The following is a 21,845-nucleotide window of genomic DNA, read 5'->3' as shown; positions in this document are numbered from 1 at the left end:
AGGATTTTTCTGGGGTCCCAGATTGAAGGGGCAGAATCTGGACCAGAACCCAGGACACCTACACCCAGGCCTCCCCACGACACCAGCTGCTTCTCAAGCCCCGAGTGGCCCCTCAGTTGAATCCAGTCCACACCACAGCCACTGCCTTCAGCTAGAGTTTATTGAGAGTCCCCTTGGGCAGACCTGGGGGATAGGGGAAGCCCCGCAAGCACCATGGCCCCTCAGAGGCCAGCCGCCGGGGCCAGAGTTGTGTCTCATCAGCACCAAGGAGAGGGCCAGGCCAGGCATGGAGGACCCCCTGGGAGTTTGTGTTGATGGAACTTGGGGGAGGCAGGGCTGAAAAGGGACCTATGGCAGGTAAACTGGCGACCAAGAGTTCCCCAACCCCCTGCCCCCAGAAACCAAGGCCCCTGTGCCAGAGTCCACCTGCCTGCCTCGTGGGCCCCACCTCACACCAGGAACAGCTCTTTGACTCTACTCTGCTGACCCAAGTAGCTACCATTCCCATTTCTCTCACTGACCCCAGGGAAGGCCAGAGGCAGGTGGGCAAGGGGCTGGGTTTATCCCCATCAGTTGTTCCCTTCTAGGTCCAAGGACCCCCCAGGATTGAGGAAAACCAGTTCTGAGGCTGAAAAAGAAACTGCCACCTGCCCCTTTTGCCCCCAGGAAAGGCAGGGCAGCAGCTTGGGAGCTGGGAGGGTCCCTGAGAGATGGGGTCCCCACCCAGGAGCCAGAACAGGGAGTTGGGGAACCAGAGTCAGGCTTTGGGAGGCTAGGCCAGGGCTGAAGAGGGGGAGGCAAATGGAAAGAGAACAACGGGAGCAAAGAGCCCTTCCTGACACACAGCCGGAGAGGCCAGGGGGCTGGATAGCCGGGGGTCGTAACAACAGAACGTACCAATTAACTGACCGTGTACTGGGTGCTGGGCACACATTGTCTTAATTCTCAAGACAACCTGCAAGATAGGCATCATTTCTCTACCTTACACATGGGATAACCGAGGCTCGGAGAGGTTAAATAACTCGTGTCAGGCCCCAGAGCTCATAGGTGGTAGAGCAGAGGCCCACATGCATGCCTGCCTGCCTCCCAGGTGCAGCTGCTGCCACATATATACCAGGGAGGGGAGACTGACAGGTCCAAAAACCATCCAGCAAATCATTCTGAGGGTTAAAGATGATCTAAGGCAGCACATCTCAAACTGTAATGGGCACATGATTCACCTGGGATCTTGGTAACATGCAGTTCTGACTCAGCAGGTCTGGGCAGGGGCAGAGATGTGCATTTTTCACAAACTCCCAAAGGTGACGGCAATGCCGATTGTCCATGGACTACACTGTGAGTAGCAAGGGGTTCAGCCCAGCATTAATCCATGCCTGCAGGTGGGGGCATTCCCTCCCGTCCAGCCTGACAGAATGGGCAAAGGTCATGATTGTTTTCATCCTAACCTGAACCAAGAGGTCCTTCTCCCCAACATCCAGAGTCCTCCAGCCCATCCTCTGCACACACAAGTTACACTCAACAGTGGAGCATCCTTCAGAACACGATATCTGAGTCAGCTATGATCCCTGCAGGTAAGGGGCCTGGAGATGGCAGCAGGGGGTCAGCTCTGCGCACCCCTCTGGAGCTCAGAGGGCTTCTAGGAGACTTGCAGCCTCCTGGTCTTAGCCAAGAGCTGGCCCAAGGACTCAGGGTCTGGGTTCTGCTCAATCCAGCTCCCCATTGGCCAGCCCCAAGCCCGGGTCAGTTCGTGGGGATGCCAAGTGGATGCGGCCGCAGCTCGGGCTCCGCGGGGTCGATGTTGAAGAAATTGACGGCGGCAGCGGCCCTGGTGGGCAGCGGGGGGTCCTGGGTGGCCTCGCCAGGAAGCAGCAGCTGGGCCGTGAGCCGCAGGCCCGAGGAGCCGCCTGAGCCTGCGTCTGAGTCCGAATCTGAGTCCGGCGGCAGGGGCAGCGGCAGCACCTGCTGTAGGCTAAGGCCGGGCCGGGGGCCGCTGTGAGAGGTGCGCAGTGATGGCGAGGCCAGGCTGGCCTGGCGCTCCCGGGGACAGCGTGGACATGGCAGGAACCTGCCCAGCGCCCGCTTGAAGTCCCGCATGAAGAGTGGGTAGATGATGGGGTTCATGGTGCTGTTACAGTAACCCAGCCATGTGAGGACATCGAAGAGGCCTGGGGAGATGCAGTCGCACACGGCCTGGGGGGAGGGGATGCATCATGCCTGGTCCCAGGGCAGGGACCCAGGCCACCCTTCCCAGCATGTATGGAGCAGACACACACACACACGCACCACGAGAGGCAGCCTACCCTCCCCTGTCCCCATGCCTGGGCTGGGATCCAGGGCCTCTCCTGCAAGGGCCGGACTCACCTGCCCCCTGCCGTGGCATTACCTGGACTATGTTGGCCACAAAGAAGGGCAACCAGGTCACAAAGAACATGCCCAGCAGGATGCCCAGCGTCAGGCTGGCCTTCAGGGCCTTCCTGCTGTGCTTCGTGGCTAGACGCCTGCTGTCAGCAGACTCCACCCCTGGGCGTGGGGTCCTGGGCACCTGCGGAAAGGAAGGCCACATGAGTCCGTTGAGAAAGGGCCCCCGTCTGACCCTGATCCTAGCCACAGACTGAGCTTCAATCCTAATTCTAGACTGAGCCCTAGTGCCAGGATTAAACTGGGCCCTGTTCCTTGACTGAGTCCCAACTAGAGTCCTAGACTGAGCCCTGACCCTGACTCCAGGCCAAGCCCTGACATCAGCAATAAACCAAGCCCTGACCTTGGCCCCCCACTGAACCCTGACACCTACCATAAAGCCCTACATAACCAAGTTCTCAAACCAAGCCTCAACTGTGGACCTAGACTGAGCTCTGATCCTGGTCCCACACTGAGCCCTGACCCTGACCCAGAATTTCATAAGGAGCTCTAGGAAGTGCAGTGAGACAGAGCAATACCTGAAACACAAATCAGATGGTTCAGAAGAACAACCATCCCTGCAAAGACAATACGTGACACAGGCCAACACACACATTACAATGAGCCCAGCACCTTCCAAAGCCTTTAGCGCTACAGAAATCAATTGCAATTGACTGGGCACAGTGGCTCACGCCTGTAATCCCAGCACTTTGGGAGGCCGAGGCAGGCAGATCACTTGAGGTCAGGAGTTTGAGACCAGCCTGGCCAACAGGGTGAAACCTTGCCTCTACTAAAAATACAAAAATTAGCCAGGCGTGGTGGCAGGCACCTGTAATCCCAGCTACTCAGGAGACTGAGGCAGGAGAATTGCTTGAACCCAGGAGGTGGAGGTTGCAGTGTGCCAAGCTCACATCACTGCACTCCAAGCCTGGGTGACAGAGCGAGACTCTGTCACACACACAGACACACACAAAATCAATTGCAATTGAACAGTACTTGAAAAAGAGGACCTGTTACTGTCCAGAGCTTGGCAATTGCTTTGTATGTGGATTGTCTTCACATTTGGGAGCAATAGTCTTGCCTGGGCAATTACTCTTGAGCCCCACAAAATAGAAAGGCTTTTTTGAGAATGTGTGCACAGAGCCAATGTTTGCAGCTAAATCTCTTAATAGGCTCCTAAGGATGCTGGTTACCTTGGCATTTTATAGCTCAATTATACTGCGAACTGGCAGGCATCTCCATTCTCAAAAGTGGACAGGAAGAGGAGGAAGGGGTAGGAGGGAGGAAGAGAAAGAAGCTACTTCCCAGCAGCCACTGAAAGGAAGGCATGGGCCCGGGGAGGTTAGAATTTGACTTTGCAAACTGGCCCCCACAGTCCCAAAGGGCTCTCTGAGCTGGATCATTCTTTAGCTCAGCAGTGCTCTTCACTTGTTAAACTTCATGAGCCTTTTGAAAATCTAATGAAATCTCACACACACACACACACACACACAAACCTCTCCCCAGAAAATAAAAGGCTTGTAAATTTTTACACACACACACACAGACAAGAAAACAACGTTTCACACTTCCAGAAGGTTCAGAGATGACCTTGAAGTCTCTAGGTTTCCACCAGAAACCCCTAGGAGTCCGTGAAAGCTGGGATGTGAAGCCCTCCTCTAAACCATGTGTTTCTGTAATCAACGTGGATTTTCATATATTAGATTTACACAAAATTAGGCCCACCTCTATTTACTATTTAATGCCCGTGGGCAGTGGTGTGCACAATTCATCATGAGCTACGCAAAGGGTGTGTTTGCGGTCTGTGAATACATCTGGGCTTTGACAGCCAGGGATTTTCCCGGCACTGGGATTTGTCCAGTTCCTAAATTGCGTGAGAGCCCTGCTTAGTTCTCGAGGCCAGAGGTGGGTTGGATATGGGGAGATGAGGTCAGAAGGAGGCAGGAGCAGAGCCAGATTCCCAGGCAACCTTCCGCAGATGGAAAGGCGGAGGAGGCAAAGCCAAGATGTGTCAACTCCAGGGAGCACCAAAGCCAACACCCCACCCCACTCTGCTGCGCATGCCCTCTCCTCCAGCCCCGGCTCTTTCTAGGCCTCCAGAGTTGGTGTCTTGTCCATGGTGCTGAAACCCCAACTACACGCGGTCTTTTCATAGAAGCTGGAATTCTAATTCTGAAATGGCAAGGAGGTTGCTGGGGCAGGGAGACGAAGCACATCGTAATCCCCACCCCTCAACGTGTTTCTTCACATGAAATCTGGTTGTACAAATATCAAGGTTATACAAATTCACAACAGAGGCCTTGGTTTCTCCCTTCTGTCTTGGTGAGACAGCATTGTACAGAGGCAAAACCTGGGCTTTTAAGACAGGTGATCTGGCTTCAAATCAAAGTGGCCTCTACCACTTACTCGCTCTGTGATCTTGAGAGAGCCTCTGTTTCCACATCTGCAAAATGGGAGAAATGATACTCAGCTTACGGCGTCGCTGTGAAGCTATGGATAATAAATGCATGCACAGAGTCTGACGTTGAGTAGGTGCTAAATACCTGGTAGCCATGTTGCTGTTTCAGTGATATGTGTTGTGAGGTTGGGGTGATTTTGAGCACTGTTGGGGAGCCTGTCCTTCTGCCAGCAGCTCTGGCCTCCCCAAAGCAGCACAGACACCAAGACAAATGCTCTGAGTCACCACGCTGCGGCTCAGATGCTATGACTAGAGGATGCTCTCCTCCGACTCCACCCCATCATACACGAGTCTGCTCCAAAGTCATTCCAAGTTAGCAAGGGAGTAAAAGAGGGTTTTACTCTCCTCTCTCCTCTTCTAGTTTTCTCTCCTCCAGAGTGGACTCTATATGGCTTTTGTGACCACACCATGGTCAGCCTGGAGGAAGAGGCTCCTGCTTCCCCAAAAGAATCTCCTAAGACCTGCCACACCTTCAAATTGCTGCCATCAATGGGAATAGACGGCATGGAGAGGGATGAGACACTGTCTCATCCAGGCATCGCTCTGACCCTTAGTGACCTGAGGAGGGCAGGGGAGAGGAGGTAGCCCTGATCTTATCACAGCTCTAGGGCATGGGGGAAACTGAGGCACTAGGGGGAATATCTCAGGTCAATCATTGGGGGAAGGAGCTCCAGAGAATGGGGTGAAGATGAACTGAGATTCCCTTTCTAGTCTCCCTGGGAACAACTCCAGGTTTTTCTTTCTCCTCTGCTTTCCAGAGAGTTGACTCAAGAACACAGGGAAGAGGAAAGAGAGAAGGAAACTGAGGCTCAGAAAGGGTAGAGGACACTCTACCCTTCCCAAGGTCACACTGTTCCAGTACAAGGCCTCCAACCAAAACCTGAGTGGCCCTGAACAAATCAGCATTATCATCCCCATTTCTCGAGCACTTACTACACATCAGCATTTGATAGTCATTAGGTCATTCAGTCTTTATGAGAGGTAGGCATTGTCATCCCCATTTTGCAGATGAGACAACTGAGGCTCGGAGAGGCAAAATGACTTGCCAGAAGTCACACAGCAGTTAAGAGTTGAGTTAGGGATTCCATCATTTCTGGCCTCAGGAACACCACTCTGCCCACTTCACCAAGCTGCTTCCACCTTTGGAGACGGCATCCATGGGCCCAGTCAGGTGGGGTTACAGAAACCCCACCACTGTCAGCAAGAGGCCCTCATGGAGCAGAAGCCAATGGCTGTCACTAGTCCACACCCCGGCATCTGGCTGATGCTGGCATCACCCTTCTGGATTCTCTCTCCCCCATAAGCACCTCGCAGCCCCTTGGGGCCATGTCCTGTCGTTTGCATCTCCCTTCTGTATCAGTGTCAGAGGGCAGCTTCCTGAAGGACAATCCAGGGCCCTTCCAGCCAACAATCACACATACAGCTTCCAGCCAACACCTACATTCATGTCTGCACGCTTCACATATCCAAGAATGTGTCCCACAGCACTACTTGTGATAGGAAAAAATTGGAAACAGCCTTAATGTCCATCAAAAGAAGAGTGGTTTAGGCTGGGCACAGTGGCTCACGCCTATAATCTCAGCCCTTTGGGAGGCCAAGGTGGGCAGATCACTTGAGGTCAGTAGTTCGAGACCAGCCTGGCCAACATGGCAAAACCCTGTCTCTGCTAAAAATAAAAAAATTAGCCAGGTGTGGTGGTGCATGCCTGTAGTCCCACTACTCAGGAGGCTGAGGCAGGAGAATCACTTGAACCCAGGAGGTGGAGGCTGCAGTGAGCCGAGATCACACCACCACACTCCAGCCTGGGTGACAGAGTGAGAGTTTGTCTCAAAAAAAAAAAAAAAAAAGAGAAGAGTGGCTTAAATAAACCACGGTGAATTCCCACTACAGAATACTACACAGATGTTTTAAAAGAATGAATCAATCAAATGAAAAGATCTCCATGATTATTAAATTATAATAGCAGGTTGCAAAGTAATAGATACAGCATGATCCTATTTGTTTAAAAAACAATATCCAACACAAAGCACCAAGTTTCTTTAAGTACCTGTATAAATACATAAGCACATAGAAAATGACCCGGAAGGGCTAGGTGCAGTGGCTCACACCTGTAATCCCAGCACTTTGGGAGGCCGAGGCAGGTGGATTGCTTGAGTCCAGGAGTTCAAGACCAGCCTGGGCAGCATGGTGAAACCCCATCTCTACAAAAAATACAAAAATTAGCCAGGCATGGTGATGTGCGTCTGTAGCCCCAGCTACTCCGGAGGTTGACGTGGGAGGATCACCTGAGTCAGAAGAGGTCAAGGCTGCAGTGAGCCGTGGTTGTACCACTGCACTCCAGCCTGGGTGACAGAGTGACACTCTGTCCTAACAGAAAAAAAAAAAAAAAAAAAGACCTAGAAGGACATATCCTAAATTGATGCATGTCCCTGGGAGTGAAAGGTGATTAGCTGGAATTTGGAGGTCTTTTCCTTCATCCCTATTGTTGAATTTTTAAAGTGTATTTATGTATTCCTTTGTGCAATTAATTTTATTTATTTATTTATTTATTTTTTGAGACGAAGTCTCGCTCTTGTTGCCCAGGCTGGAGTGCAATGGCGCGATCTCGGCTCACCACAACCTCTGCCTCCCGGGTTCAAGCGATTCTCCTGCCTCAGCCTCCCAAGTAGCTGGGACTACAGGTGTGCACCACCATGCCCATCTAATTTTGTACCTTAGTAGAGATGGGGTTTCTCCATGTTAGTCTCAAACTCCCGATCTCAGGTGATCCACCCACCTCGGCCTCCCAAAGTGCTGGGATTACAGGCGTGAGCCACCACGCCCAGCCCACAATTAAATTTTGTTACCATCATCTGATCATAGTGTGAGAGTTACAAGACAGACTCTGGAGCCAGACTGCCTGGTTTCAAATCCTGGCTCTGTTACAAACTAGTGGAGTGACCTTAAGCAAGTTACTTCATCTATGCTTCCACTTTCTGTTCTGTAAAATGGCACTAAAATAGCATCTACCTCATAGGATTATAATAAGGATAAAATAAAATAATACACTGAAAGTTAGAACAGTGCCAGCACATAGGAAGTCCCATAGAAGTGTTAGCTATTGTTGTCATTATTATTAGTCTCTGGCTCAGCTGTTTGATAATGATGGTGATGGTGCTGGTGACAGCAGTGATGTTTTTCCCTAGAAAGGGTCAAGGTGGTGAGCTCCCCAGAAACATATTTTACCAACAACAGGAAAAGAGAGGCACGAACAACTATTGTTGTTGTTTTAAAGATGGGGTCTTGCTCTGTTGCCTGGGCTCAAGCAATCCTCTCACCTCAGCCTCTTCGAATAGCTGTAACTAAAGGTATGTGCCACCAGGCCTGGCTAATTTTTTATATATATTTTTAGAGACAGGAGCTCGCTATGTTGCCCAGGCTGGTCTCGAACTCCTAGCTTCAAAGAATCCTCCTGCCTTGGCCTCCCAAAGTGTTGGGATTACAGTTGTGAGTCACTGCCTAGCTGAAATTTGTTGAGCACTTACTATGTGCCTGGTATTTTATGTATATTATCTAATTGACTCTTCAAACAGACTTGTGTGATAGATGTCATGACCCCTGGAGCATAAGGAGGTAAAATGCCTTGCCCAAGATCGTCCAGCTATGAGGCAAAAGAGGCAGGGCTTGAACCCTAACCAGCCAGACCCCCAAGCTCCTGCTCCAGCCCTGGCTGCACCAGGCTGCCTGGCTCTGAGCAGCAGCCAAGCCTGCCATGCTCGGCAGTGTCACTCTGCCAGCCTCTCCCTGGCTCGGCCCCCTCCTCCCCCTCACAGATATTTCTGTGATCACAGCCTCCTCCTCTGAGGAGGAGGAAAGACAGAGATGGAAGGGAAGATGGATCACTAAGACAGAATGACGCTTAGTTGGGTGAGAGAGGGTGAAAAAAGGAGGGGGAGGAGGAAAAGCGGGAGAAATTGATGGGACAGGAGAAGGGGGAGGGGAAGACGGGGCACACAGAAGGAAGACATGGGAACTGAAGGAGAGAAGGATGGATGGGAGTGGGGAGGAAGGTGAGGTGTAGAGATGGGATGAGGTTATGGACCACAGAGACCCAGAAATCCTGCCAGGAAGAGGAGGAGGCTGGGCCTCTCCTGCTGGGCTCTCCCTCAAGCCAGTGGCCCATGCTGCATCTCTGAAACTGCCCCTAACACCCTGGACCCTCCACAATCTCCCAAGGATGGCTCAGTGCCACCCACATCCAGGCCCCCACCTTCCACCCTGCTCCCAACACACACACTCCCCTGCCCTGGTAGCTCCTCACTCTGCCCCACGGCTCTTCCTCCATCCCCAGCCCACACTCCCAGCCACAGTGCTAAGCAGGACCCCTTCCTCCCAGCCCTGAGGTGGTGGGAAGACCTAGTGGAAATCACTAAGCCAACCAGTGGCCTTTTAAAAGCCCATTTCCATAAATAGACATATGGAGAGGGGATGAAATGCTCAAGGCTGACCAGCTCCCATGTTCTGACCCCAGAGGAACTGGGGCCTCGAGACCTATGCCCAGCTCCTTTCCCTCTGCAGGGAAGCTAGAGAGTGGAATGGGGCAGGAAGCCAAGGCTAAGTGGGGCTGGGCACAGGAAAAGGGAAGGGGTCCAAGACACCCACATCTGATTCATTCTCATCACTTCCTTTAGGTCCAAACATTGAGGGGGCCTCCACCTCCAGGCCAGCTCTGGTGGGAAGAAAGAGGCGGTGACCCAGGAGGGCCAATGCAATTTCTCAGATGCATTTTCCCAAAGTGCAGGCCGTTCACCAGGCAATCAGGAAAACGGCCTGCAGGAGGCTTACTTAAGGAGCCGAGTGGATTTGAAAGCAGGAACAGAGGCAGAATTTGCACACGTCACGTTCAAACCAAGAGAATGGGCTTTCCAGAAAGCGGGGGGATTAGAACAGACACATTTCTGGCTTGAGAGGCCCCTGAGTCACTCTGCCTTAGAAGTAAGGCGCTGGCCTAACCAACCCATGAAGACCCCTCCAGCCTTTCACTTTAGGGCTTGGTGTGAGTGCTTTGCTTTCATCTTCAAACATACACAGTGAATAATAGATTTTGAATGTTTGCTGGGTGAAGCATCCCTCCTATAAGCTCCATAATCCTCATCGTGGTACAGTTTGATGATTAATGTCTGTACTCCTAACTAGAACAGATTTCAAGAGGGCAGGCACTGTTGGTCTCGTTCACCACTACATACACAGCCTAGAACAGCTGCTGTGCAAAGCAGGTGTCAATACATGTCACCAAGCAAATGAATTCACACGATAAAAAGTTCAGGATCATGACACTCAAGAAGTGACTCTGAAAGGCATGAGAAAACAGGCAACCGCACAAACAGGGCTGGAATACCAGGCTCCCTGAAGCACTGTGTACACTGCATTCCTTCCATCAATACATACTGAGCACCCATGATGTGCCAGGTGCCCCTAATTCCTGGGACCATGGGGGAAAACAGAAAGACAGGCCAGGCATGGTAGCTCACGCCTGTAATCCTAGCACTTTGGAAAGCCAAGGCGGGTGGATTGCCTGAGCTCAGGGTTTCAAGACCAGCCTGGGCAACACAGTGAAACCCCATCTCTACTAAAATACAAAAAATTAGCCCGGTGTGGCGATGTGCACCTATAGCCCAGCTACTCCGGAGGCTGAGGCAGGAGAATTGCTTGAACCTGGGAAGCGGAGGTTGCAGTGGGCCAAGATCACGCCACTGCACTCCAGCCTGGGCGAGAAAGTGAGACTCTGTCTCAAAAAAAAAAAAAAAGGCAGAAAAACAAGTTCCCCACCCTCATAGGCCTAAATTCTAGAAGAAGGAAATAAACAGTAAATAAATAAAAATGGGTAGGTATAGAACACGTCAGGGGGTAGGAGGTGCTGCTGAGAGAAATAACTTAGGAAATGAGGACTGGAGAGGACCTGGGGAGGGTGAGAGGTGCTACTCTTGAGAGAGGGATTAGGGGAGGCAATTCAACAGAGGCTGGAAGGAAATGATGGAAATTAGTGGGAGAACAGGGTGGAGACCTGAAGAAAGGGCACTCCAAGCAGAAGGAACCGCAAGTGAGGCAGAATGGGCTTGGTGTGTTCAAGGAACAGCAAGGAGGCCAGTATGGCTGAAAGAGAAGAAACAAGCAGGATTATAGAAGGAGAGGAGGCCAGATAGGGTCAGAGGGCCAGGTGATGTGAGACACAAGGCTGCCAGAGCAGAGGAATGATGCAGCAGGAACTGCATTGTAAAGGGGATCATTGGGGCCACTGCGGAAGGTTGAAAGGGAGGAAGAGCGGAATCAGGAAGTCAGGGCCAGGCGCAGTGGCTCACGCCTGTAATCCCAGCACTTTGGGAGGCCGAGGCTAGCAGATCACGTAAGGTCAGGAGTTCGAGACCAGCCTGGCCAACATGGTGAAACCCTGTCTCTACTAAAAATACAAAAATTAGCTGGGCGTGGCAGCACGTGCCTGTAAGCAGCCCAGGTAGGAAGTCATCAGCGTGTGGGTGGTATTTTCAGTTACGAGACAAGATGAGGTCACTAACGGGGCAAATGTGGAAAAAGGACGAGATGCTCCGAGGACTGAGGACTAGGGATGCCATGGCTCAGGCGGATCAGGAGGACCCAACAGAGAAGACCAGAAGGCACAGAGAAGAAAAGGGGCAAGGTGTGGGGTCCCCGAGCAAAGCATTTCAAGAGCATCACTGCCCACAGGCAGCACACCAGCACAGGGCGATGGCACCAGCCAGATCCGAGCTTAAACCTCACTTACCAACTGTGCAATCTTGGGCAAGTCACCTCTCGCTCTGAGCCTCAGTTTCCCCACCTGTCTAACAGGGGTGCTGGTAGTACTTGACTCATTGGGTGTTTGGGGAATTAATAAGTTTAGCTCAGTGCCTGGTACAGAGTGAGTGCTCACAGATTGTGGGGCTGCAGCTGTTAGCACCTGGGAGACTCCTGCCCAGGTTCCAAGACCACAGACTCAGGTTCAATCCTAGTACCAGCCAGCGAGATTCATGGAAAGAAAATCTGTGTGGTACTGGCACCGCTGCAACTAGGAATCCTGATCTCTCCCGCCCCAACCTCACCCAGACCAGCCAACTTCTCACATCCTTAGTCACGAGAGCAGAGCTTCCTGAACTGTGGGAATGGAGATGATTTTAGATGGTAAAGGGACACCCCATAAAATGAGTGAATCACAGAGTGAGCACGTCAGCCCATTACAGCTGTCTTCCAGCTCTTCTAGGTGCGTCAAGAGAAAGTCCCACGTTGATGCTACCATGTTTGTAATACCTTCTAGCACGCTACAAAGAGAAAGCAGGCCCTAGGCTCATCACCTCAACCACACCAAGCTGCATTTCAGTGATAGGGCTGGAGCTTCTTCAGTTTCACTGAAGTGGTGTTTGTGATCACCTTCTATTTATGGCAAAGGATACAGATTTTCCATTTCTAGAGGAGATACGAAGTTTTCTTTCTACACAAATTTGTGGAAGTAAAAATATAAAAGAGATGATTTAAAGAAAATGTCAAGAATGCCAGGCACGGGGGCATGCACCTGCAATTCCAGCTACTCGGGAGGCTGAAGTGGGAGCTCGAGGCCAGCCTGGGCAATATAGTGAGACCCTGTGTCTAATAAATAAATAAATAAAATGCCAAGTGCATGTGAATTAAGTGGCTTAAGGTGTGGAGGTGGTGGTGGAAGAGGCATTAAGGAAGATATCCGCAGGCAGTTCTTGAATGCCTGAAGCTTGTGAAACACTCCTTTTCAAGAACCCAGGGAAGCCTGTAACCCTAGCACTTTGGGAGGCCAAGACAGGAGGATCGCTTGAGCCCAAGAGTTCAGTGAGTTATGATCGGGCCAGTGCATACCAGCTCTTCAGGCTGGAATGAGCTATGATCAATTCTAAGCTGCAGTGAGCTATAATCACGCCACTACATTCCAGCCCTCCAGCCTGGGTGACAGAGCAAGACCCTGTCTCTTAAAAAACAACAATAACAACAACAAAAAGCAAGAACCCAGGGTATATGGCCTAAGGCAGCCATCCCACCCCTGAAGAAGCAAGTCAGAGTCCCAGCCACCTGCCAAGACTCAAGAATGTTCTACAGGGAGCAGGGATAGGGAGAAGGAGCTGGGCGGCAGCCAGGACTCCCAGTCCATGTGGGGCCCTGCCCCCACCCCAGGTGATAGGCAGGGGCAACTTTGGGCCTCACCCACCTGGGTGGGACAGGCAAGCTTGTCTGGGGGACTGCCAAGGAGGGTGTTAGCCTTTCACCCCTCTGCCAAGTCCCCATGTGCCCAGTGACCTCCAATGCAACCCCCACCCTCCTAGAGCTTTCACCACTCAGGGCTACACCAAAAGAGCCCAGCTGGGACTTTCCTCAAGACCTGCGACCTAAGTCACTGGGTCTCAGGCCTGGTCGGTCTACACACCCACCCCTCCAGGGGGTCAATAGGAGTCAGGTGCACTGTGGCCTGGATGGCAAGAGCAGGCACTCACTTATAGACAATGCAAGGCCTTGAGCTAAGAGCACCTACCCCATTCCCAGGCACTGAAACAAGATGGGACCTACTATGCACAGTGGGGATCAAAACTGACCTCGATCAGGAGTTCAAGACCAACCTGGCCAATATGGTGAAACCCCATCTCTACCAAAAATACAAAAGTTAGCCTGGTATAGTGGTGGGTGCCTGTAATCCCAGCTACTCAGGAGGCTGAGGCAGAAGAATCGCTTAAACCCATGAGGCAGAGGTTGCAGTGAGCCAAGATCGCACCACTGCCCTCCAGCCTGGGCAACAGAGCGAGACTCCGTCTCAAAAAAAACAAAAACAAAAACAAAAAAAAAAGCAAAAAAACTGATCTCAATATGTGTGACCCTCCTGGAGCTTATATTCAAGTCAGGGAGGCAAAATGAACAAGTCATTTTTATGACTTGTTCTTATGGAGAATAACAGGGATGGAGAGTGCAGATGGGCCTGCAGATAGGGTGGTCAAAGATGGCCCCTGGGAAGAAGGCAGCCGGGGGAAGAACATTCCAGGCACAGGGAACAGCAAGTGCAAAGACCTGGGCACAGAAGTAAGCCCAGTGCCTTCTAGAACCGTGAGAAAGGCCACAAGGCTGTTGCAGAGTAAGAGAGAGGGAGAGGGGAGGTGACACTGGAGAGGATGGCAGTGTGGGATCCTGAGGCCAGATCCTGAGACAGGTTTTCTTTATCTGGAGCACGGTGGGAAGCCTGAAGAGTCTGAAGCAGGGGAGTGACATGATCACTTCTTTTTTAAGTGCTCCAGCTTCTATGCAGAAGATGGAGAGTACTGGGTCTGCGGCAGAAGCAGGGGAGCCAGGAGAAGTCTACACAGCCTCCCCGGTAGGAAGTGGCAGGGGAGATGGCACCTGTTTAGAGCAGCGCCAACAGGTCTCGCTAATGAATGGCATGAGGGTGAGGGAGAAAAGTATTCCTAAGTTCCTGGCATGTGATGCCGCAATGGTGCCATTTGCCATGATGGGGAAGACCAGGGAGGCAAAGATGGGGAGAGTTGGGCCACCATAAATTCCCTGTTGTACATGGTACCTGGGAGAAGCCTGCCCCCAAATCCTGACGGAGCTATCCTGTGGTGGGTGGGTCAGGCATTGGCTCTGGAGTTCAGAAGAAAGGTGGGCGCTCACAACAGCCACGCAGGGCCATGAGCAAATGTGTGCTAAGTGGGGATGCCCAGGGGGTCCCCAGGGGCTGCTCATTCCTCTCTATCCCACAGCCCGGGTCTCCCTGCGCACCCCAGGTACCTGCAGCGTCTCCGAGGCCTGACTGGCCATGCCGGTGGTGAGGGAGGCCACCTGCACGGCCTGCTTGCGGGCAGCTAGCAGGATCCTGCAGTAGGTGAAGCATATGGCACCCGAGGGCAGGAAGAAGGTGAGGCCCGACGCCACAAGGACAAAAGGCAGGCTGGCCAGCAGGCGGCACTGGCCAGGGACGGGTGGCCGTGCGTGGCCCAGCTCGTGCCAGCCCAGCAGCAGGGGCAGGAAGGAGGCGAGAGCGGCGAGGCTCCAGGCGCCCAGGACTAGGGCCAGGGCACGCAGGGGCGTCATGCGCAGCTTGTAGCGCAGCGGCGAGAGGATGAGCAGGTAGCGGTCCAGGCTGATGAGGCAGAGGTTGAGGATGGAGGCGCTGCAGCACATCACGTCGAAGGCGGTCCAGAGCAGGCAGAGGCCGCGCGCCAGCACCCAGCGCCCGTACAGCGCGTTCAGCATGGCCGGCGGCATCACCACCAGCCCCACCATCAGGTCAGACGTGAAGAGCGACACCAGGAAGAAGTTGGACGTGTTGCGCAGCGCGGGCTGAGTGCAGATGAGCGCGATCAGCAGCGAGTTGGCCGCCGCCGTCAGCGCGATGACCACGCACAGCGCGGCCGCCACCCAGCCGCTGCCCCCCGGGGCCGACGGCGGCCCTGCCCCCCAGGCCGGGGTGCTATTGGCGGTTGGGCCCGGCTCTGGGACCATGAGGACCGAGGGTGGACGGCAAGGGAGTGATAGGGTGGCGGGAAAGCAGATGAGGGCCCCGGCGAAGCGCAGGCTGGACGGGGACCGTCCGTGAGAACAGACCGCGACTCACCACGCCCCCCGGGGGAGGTGAGTGGGGGGACATGGGCGGGGGCGCTGGGTCGCGCTAGGTCAGGGGGCAGCGACTACAGGAGGACACAGTGTGGCTATTTGGGCGCCCTCGGGGATGGGGCAGGAACTCCTGGAGCAAACGGGTTGGAAGTTTGGGGAGGGGCACCCGATGAGCCGAGGCCCCTGAAGGAAGCGGCGGGAAGTCAAGCAGAGGTCGGATGGGCTCCCTGGGGTGGGAGCAGAGCCCCCTGGAGGGGGCGGGCGGCAAGATAGGGGAGGGGCGTCCGGCCGGGTCAGAGTGCGGGGAAGTGGGAACGCGGGGAGGTGGGTGAGGGGGGTGAATGGGCGCTCTCGGGCCGGAGCAGGCTCCCCGCGGCCGGTGGGCGTGTGGGGTACCAGGGCGGGGGCCTAGGGGCCGGAGCAAAGCCGCCCCTGGGAAAGGCAGGTCTCAGCTGGCGCGGAGGCACCGGGATCCGGCGCACACGGCCTGTGCGGCGCGGGGGTTCGCCGGGGCCGCCAGGCCCCGCGGGAAGAGGAGGGCAGCGGCCGCGCGGCGCCCCCTCCCCACCCGGCAGCAGGGTCGCCTCCGTCTCCCGCCCGCACTGGTACCTGGGGCGCTCTGGCTGCTCCGCCGCCTGCGACTGCGGCAAGCGCCGCGGGGCTGCGAGAGGAAGAGGCGGCCGCGGGCCGGGCGGGCGGCGGGACCGGGTCTCCCGAGCCCGGGAGGCGCCGCGAGGGGCCCGCACGCGCGGAGGAGAGGCCGGGTGCAGCCTGGAGCGCGCGGTCCCCGCGCCGCGGAGCGTGCGCCCCGCCTCGCGGTGGGCGGGGAGAGCCGAGCCCTGGCCCTGCAGGAGGGCGGGGTCCCGGCACCCCGGGCCTGTGGGCCGAAGATCAGAGCGCCCCAGCTGCGAGGGGTCACCTCCCGGGCTGTGGCAGCCCCCACACCCTCAGATGCCCCTCCCAACCCACACGTGGCGGCGGCGCAGGCGGAACTGGGAGCAGGGGGCTGTGACCTGCCCTTATCCAGGGGCTGCTCTCTAATGGGTGCCTGCCCACTCACAACGGGGTCACCGGGCTTTCAGGGGAGCCAGGAGTTGGGAAATATTGGACAAATCGCCTGACACCCCTCTGGGCCTCAGTTGCCATATCTGTAAAATGGGTTAGTAATTCTGGGCATTCTTCACCGTTAGTTTGAGCAAGAAGCTAACCTTCCCCAGGGCCTTTCCCGCAGAAACCATCCCGATCCCCAAAGGGGCCAGGTACTAAGGATGAAGTCCCTGAGCTGTTGGCGCTCCTAGTCTAACAGAGCGTGAACAGATTTGAGAATCCCCAGGCCAGGTGTGTTAAGAGTCGCTGCAGGCAGAGGCGTGGGGTGTGGTTTCCCCTGGGTGTGACCTCCCTCTGTACGTCTCCCCTCTGGCTGAGAAGAGTCTCTGCCTAACACTGCTGTGCAGGTTAATACTGTTATTCATTCATTCATTGAACAGATACTTCAATGCATCTTTTAAGGCGCATCCACTAGATGTCAGGCACTGTTCTGACCCATCAGGACACTACAGTGGCCAAAACAAAGATCCGCACCTCCATGGAGCTTACATTCTAGTGGAAGAAACAGACAATAAACAATAAGCATAATCAACAGAGAAAGTGGGCCCAGCGAGGTGGCTCACGCCTGTAATCCCAGCACTTTGGGAGGCGGAGGTGGGCAGATCACCTGAGGTCAGGAGTTCGAGACCAGCCTGACCAACATGGTAAAACCCCGTCTCTATCAAAAATACAAAAATTAGCTGGGCGTGGTGGCGGGAGCCTGTAATCCCAGCTATTCGGGAGGCTGAGGCAGGAGAATTGCTTGAACCTGGGAGGCAGAGGTTCCAGTGAGCCAAGATTGTGCCACTGCACACTCCAGCCTGGGTGACAGAGCAAGACTCTGTCAAAAAAAAAAAAAAAAAAAAAAAAAAAAAGGAAAGAAAGAAAGAGAGAAAGGAAAGAAAGAGAAAGAAAGAAGAGAAAGAGAAAAAGAAAATGTAGTATAAAGAGAACGGGGTGGGATCATTTTTTCTCCACAGAAACAGAAAAATAATACTTTCCAAATCGAAGGCTCCTGCGCTGTCCCCAGGGGCTTTGTTGTACGGTTCCTACTCCTCCAGTTATTTATTCCGACCCCTACAATAATGCTGAGAGGTAGACGTTAAACTGGGGTTCAGAGAGGCCAAGGGCCTTGCCCCAGATCACCAGCAGCAAGTGGTGAAGTGGACCTGAAACCCAGATCTGCTCGATGCCCATGGCAAAGAGAGCCCATTACAGATGGTCAAAAACCTCCCCTCAGGCACCTCAGAGCCTGCAGCACCCACCCGCCAACTCTAAGCTGCTATTTGGTGCTCAGAGCCCCAGCCTTGCCCACAGAAGCATCTTTTAAGCAGATAGAGGAGGCCTGTCCTTCCTCCTTGCCACCACACTGCACCACTGTGACGATTTCTGCCATGCCCCCAAGGAACAGAACGTAGTACAGCAAGCCTGGGCAGAGAGTCAGAAACACATGGCTTGGGATCCCCGCTCCATCCCAGCTCTGGGATTACAGGGCCAGTGGCTCCATCTCCTTGGGTCACAGCTTTCTCTTCTGTAATAGTTAGCAGAACAATATGGCACCCACCTCACAGAGTAGCTGAGGGGATTAAATGACACTGATGTAATCTGTGTCTTTGATACTATGTTAACACTAGCTGGCCGGGCACAGTGGCTCACGCCTGTAATCCCAACACTTTGGGAGGCCAAGGCGGGCAGATCACCTGAGGTCAGGAGTTCGAGACCAGCCTGGTCAATATGATGAAACCCCGTCTCTACTAAAAATACAAAATTAGCCAGGTGTAGTGATGCACGCCCATAATCCCAGCTACTCAGGAGGCTGAGGCAGGAGAATCACTTGAACCCACAAGGCAGAGGTTGCAGTGAGCTGAGATCACACCACTGCACTCTAGCCTGGGCAAAAACAGCGAAACTCCATCTAAAAAAAAAAAAAACAAAAAAACAAAAAAACAAAAAAAAAACCTAGCTCTTGGCTTTAGTGTTCCCATCAGCACAATCGTAATGCATTCAGCTCTGTGCTAACTCCTTGAGCCCAGGGATTTCTGACGTGAACAGCTGCAACCCTGAGAGGTGCTGTGTGGAAGGATTTTGGAGCCCAGCATCCTGGGTTCATCATCCAGAGTCTGCCACTTGCTCTGTGAAGTTGTGCAAAGCCTCTTAAATTCTCTGCTGCTATGAAACCAAGGCAGTGGAGCTGTGAATGAGATGAGTAAAAAATTTTGCCTGATAAATGTTGCTTTGTAAAAATCTGTAGGTAGTGCATAGAATATTAGTCTTTCTGCTTTCACTTTTCCCACAATACTTGATATCTTTTATTTTAAAAAAAAGACCTAAAGATTAGCTGAGCGTGGTGGTGCACGACTCTAGTTTCAGCTACTTGTGAGACTGAGGTGAGAGGATTGCTTGAGGCCAAGTGTTCAAGGCTGCAGTGAGCTATGATCACACGTGTGAATAGCCACTGAACTTCAGCCTCGGTGACAGTGTCTCAAACAAACAAACTAACTAAAGAAAACCTGGCAATAACTTTAACATTTGTTCATTCTGGGTGATGGATCCGCTGATGTTTGTTATAATGCGCTCTGTGCTAAAATTTAAAATTTTATTTTAAGATTGGGCCAGGGTTATGGTGCCACCTTGTGGCCATACTGTTATTATCTTGAACTTGAGACTTTTTTTTTCTTTTTTAGAGACAAGAGTCTCGTTCTGTGGCCCAGGCTGGAGGCAGTGATGCTATCATAGCTCAGTGTAACCTCGCACTCCTGTGTTCAAGCTACCTTCCCACCTCAGCCTCCCAAGTAGGTAGGACTAGAGGTGTGCGCTACCACACCCAGCTAAATTTTTTAAGTTTTTTGTAGAGACAAGGTCTTGCTGTATTGCCCAGGCTGGTCTCAAACTCCTGGCCTCAAGTGATCCTCCTGCCTCAGCCTCTCAAAGCACTAGAGTTACAGGCATGAGGCCCGCACCTGGCTGGGACCTTTATAGACGCTTCATGTGTGCTCTCCTATAACTGTCATTTGGGTCATGAAATAACGAAGTCCTAGACCTCTTAACATTTCAGGGTTGGCCAGGCGCGGTGGCTCACGCCTGTAATCCCAGGACTTTGGGAGGCTGAGGTGGGCGGATCATGAGGTCAGGAGATCAAGACCATCCTGGCTAACACAGTGAAACCCCATCTCTACTAAAAATGCAAAAAAATTAGCCGGGTATGGTGGCGGGCGCCTGTAGTCCCAGCTACTCAGGAGGCTGAGGCAGGAGAATGGCGTGAACCCGGGAGGCGGAGCTTGCAGTGAGCCGAGATTGCACCACTGCACTCCAGCCTGGCCGACAGCGCAAGACTCCGTCTCAAAAACAAAACAAAACAAAAAACAAACAAAAAAAAATTTCAGGGTAAAGAGGGACTTTCAAGAATACTCGGCTTTTGCTTGTTTACTTCTAGCTATGAGAGCTTCCTCCCCAGAGGAGATAGCAGGTGCCACTATGGAACAGCTGAGTTTTAGGGAGTCATCTGCCCCAGACCTCCATGCCCGTCAGTTCACAGGGGACCGGGGCAAGCTCCTCATGACAGAGGTGGAGAAATCAAGGCCCCAGGGAGGTTGCCAGCCTGCCCAAAGCTGCTCTGTGCCAGAAGGCAACTGAACAACTGGGCAAACTCCCTGAAGGCAGGCAGGGATTTGTCTGTCTGGTTCACGCTGGATCTCTGGCACATATTAGGCTCTCAATAAATATCTGTTCAGTGAATGAATAAATGAACAAAACTATCAGTGCAACACCCTGCAGCGTGGGCCAATCATTCATTCTCAATCATAATAACAGCTGACATCCACTGAGGTCTTACTAAAGCCAGGCATGTCCCGAGCTCTACACACGCGCTGACTCACATAACGCTCACTGCCACTCTAGGAGTGAGGTAGGTGTGACCATTATTCCCCATTTTGCACATAGGAAAAGTGAGTCTTGGAGATCTTATGTGACTTGCTCAAGACTATAGTTAGGCAGTGGTCCAGCTAAGATTTGAACCCAAGCAGACTCAATCTCCTCAGAGGCTTGGAGCAGAGGAAGAAAACCAGTTGAGAGCTGGCTCCATACAGGCAAACAAAGTGGAAAGAGAGGGACCTGTGTTGCTATCTGCGCTGCTATCAGTGTTAATCCCTTGTAAAGACTTTAAGTCCCAGGCCAGGCGCGGTGGCTCACTCCTGTAACCCCAGCATTTTGGGAGGCCGAGGCAGGCAGATCACGAGGTCAAGAAATGGAGACCATCCTGGCCAACATGGTGAAACCCCGTCTTTACTAAAAATACAAAAATTAGCTGGGCGTGGTGGCGTACGCCTGTAGTCCCAGCTACTCAGGAGGCTGAGGCAGGAGAATCACTTGAACCCGCAAGGCGGAGGTTGCAGTGATCCGAGATCGCGCCACTGCACTCCAGCCTGGCGACATAGCCAGACTCCGTCTCAAAACAAAAACAAAAACAAAAACAAAAACAAAAACAAAAACTTTTAAGTCCCTCCTCACTGCGGGGAGGATGCAGGATGCAACTCCCTCCATCCCCGGAAGGTGGCACACCAAGGGATGCTTCTCAATTGACGTCTCTCAAGCCAGGCTACTCCCTCTCTGGGATCCCACATCCAATCAGCAGCGCTTCTCACGGCCCTGCCTCTCCAACCCCACGGCCTGACACAACTGGCCCCATCCTCTCCCGCCTGCAGCCTTGCAGTCCCCGCTGATAGCCCCAGCATCTCCCTCCTCCAACCTAGCTTAGTCTCCTGAAACTCAGCTTTGCAGACGCCTCTAGGGCGCCTCAGCGCAATGAGAATGAAGTCTGAACTCTGGCTAGCATTCCAGGCTGCGCCAGCCAGGCCAACTCACCTTCTTGCTTTATTGCTTTATTTCCAGCAGACCCTTACAAGCTTCTTTTTTCTTCCTTCCTTTCTCTTCTTCCCCTTCCCCTTCCTTTCCTCCCCCCTTTTCTTTCTTTTTTTTTTTTTTTTTTTTTTTTTTTTTGAGACAGGTTCTCACTCTATCGCCCAGGCTGGAGTGTAGTGACACGAACATGACTCACTGCAGCCTCGACCTCCAGAGATCAAGCAGTCCTCCCACCTCAACCTCCCATGTAGCTGGGAATACAGACGCGTACCACCACACCTGGCTAATTTTTTGATTTTTTATAGAGACAGGGTCTCACTTTTTGTTGCTCAGGCAATCCTCCTGCCTCGGCCTCCCAAAGTGCTAGGATAACAGGCGTGAGCCACTGTGCCCAGCCCTTATTTATCTATGAATGTACACCCAGCTTCGTTCCAGA

At 53.1% G+C, this 21,845-nt stretch overlaps 1 protein-coding gene across 1 annotated transcript, besides 4 other annotated features; it reads right to left on the bottom strand.

Annotated features, from left to right (window-relative positions):
* Window positions 1-142: 142 nt before the first annotated feature.
* HTR6 (5-hydroxytryptamine receptor 6) lies at window positions 143-16,234 on the bottom strand. The gene is made up of 3 exons (NM_000871.3): window positions 14,642-16,234; window positions 2,384-2,542; window positions 143-2,190 (listed from the first exon to the last, which is right to left on the bottom strand). The coding sequence occupies exons 1-3, from the start codon at window positions 15,353-15,355 to the stop codon at window positions 1,741-1,743; spliced, it is 1,323 nt and encodes a 440-aa protein (NP_000862.1). The 5' UTR covers window positions 15,356-16,234; the 3' UTR covers window positions 143-1,740.
* Window positions 14,469-15,439: an enhancer, noted in NCBI's record as "H3K27ac-H3K4me1 hESC enhancer chr1:19992163-19993133 (GRCh37/hg19 assembly coordinates)". NCBI's record gives its function as "activates a minimal SCP1, AML or CMV promoter by ChIP-STARR-seq in naive H9 embryonic stem cells {active_cell/tissue: H9 hESC(naive)}" and the evidence as "EXISTENCE:reporter gene assay evidence [ECO:0000049][PMID:30033119]".
* Window positions 15,440-16,412: an enhancer, noted in NCBI's record as "H3K27ac-H3K4me1 hESC enhancer chr1:19991190-19992162 (GRCh37/hg19 assembly coordinates)". NCBI's record gives its function as "activates a minimal SCP1, AML or CMV promoter by ChIP-STARR-seq in primed H9 embryonic stem cells {active_cell/tissue: H9 hESC(primed)}" and the evidence as "EXISTENCE:reporter gene assay evidence [ECO:0000049][PMID:30033119]".
* Window positions 15,440-16,420: a biological region, named in NCBI's record as "H3K27ac-H3K4me1 hESC enhancer GRCh37_chr1:19991190-19992162".
* Window positions 16,191-16,420: a silencer, noted in NCBI's record as "silent region_360". NCBI's record gives its function as "represses an Ori minimal core promoter by ATAC-STARR-seq in GM12878 lymphoblastoid cells {active_cell/tissue: GM12878}" and the evidence as "EXISTENCE:reporter gene assay evidence [ECO:0000049][PMID:35858748]".

The sequence above is a fragment of the Homo sapiens genome, chromosome 1 (assembly GCF_000001405.40).
Source record: "Homo sapiens chromosome 1, GRCh38.p14 Primary Assembly".
In the NCBI taxonomy this organism is placed as follows: domain Eukaryota; kingdom Metazoa; phylum Chordata; class Mammalia; order Primates; family Hominidae; genus Homo; species Homo sapiens.
This window is presented reverse-complemented; position numbering and strand designations above follow the sequence as displayed.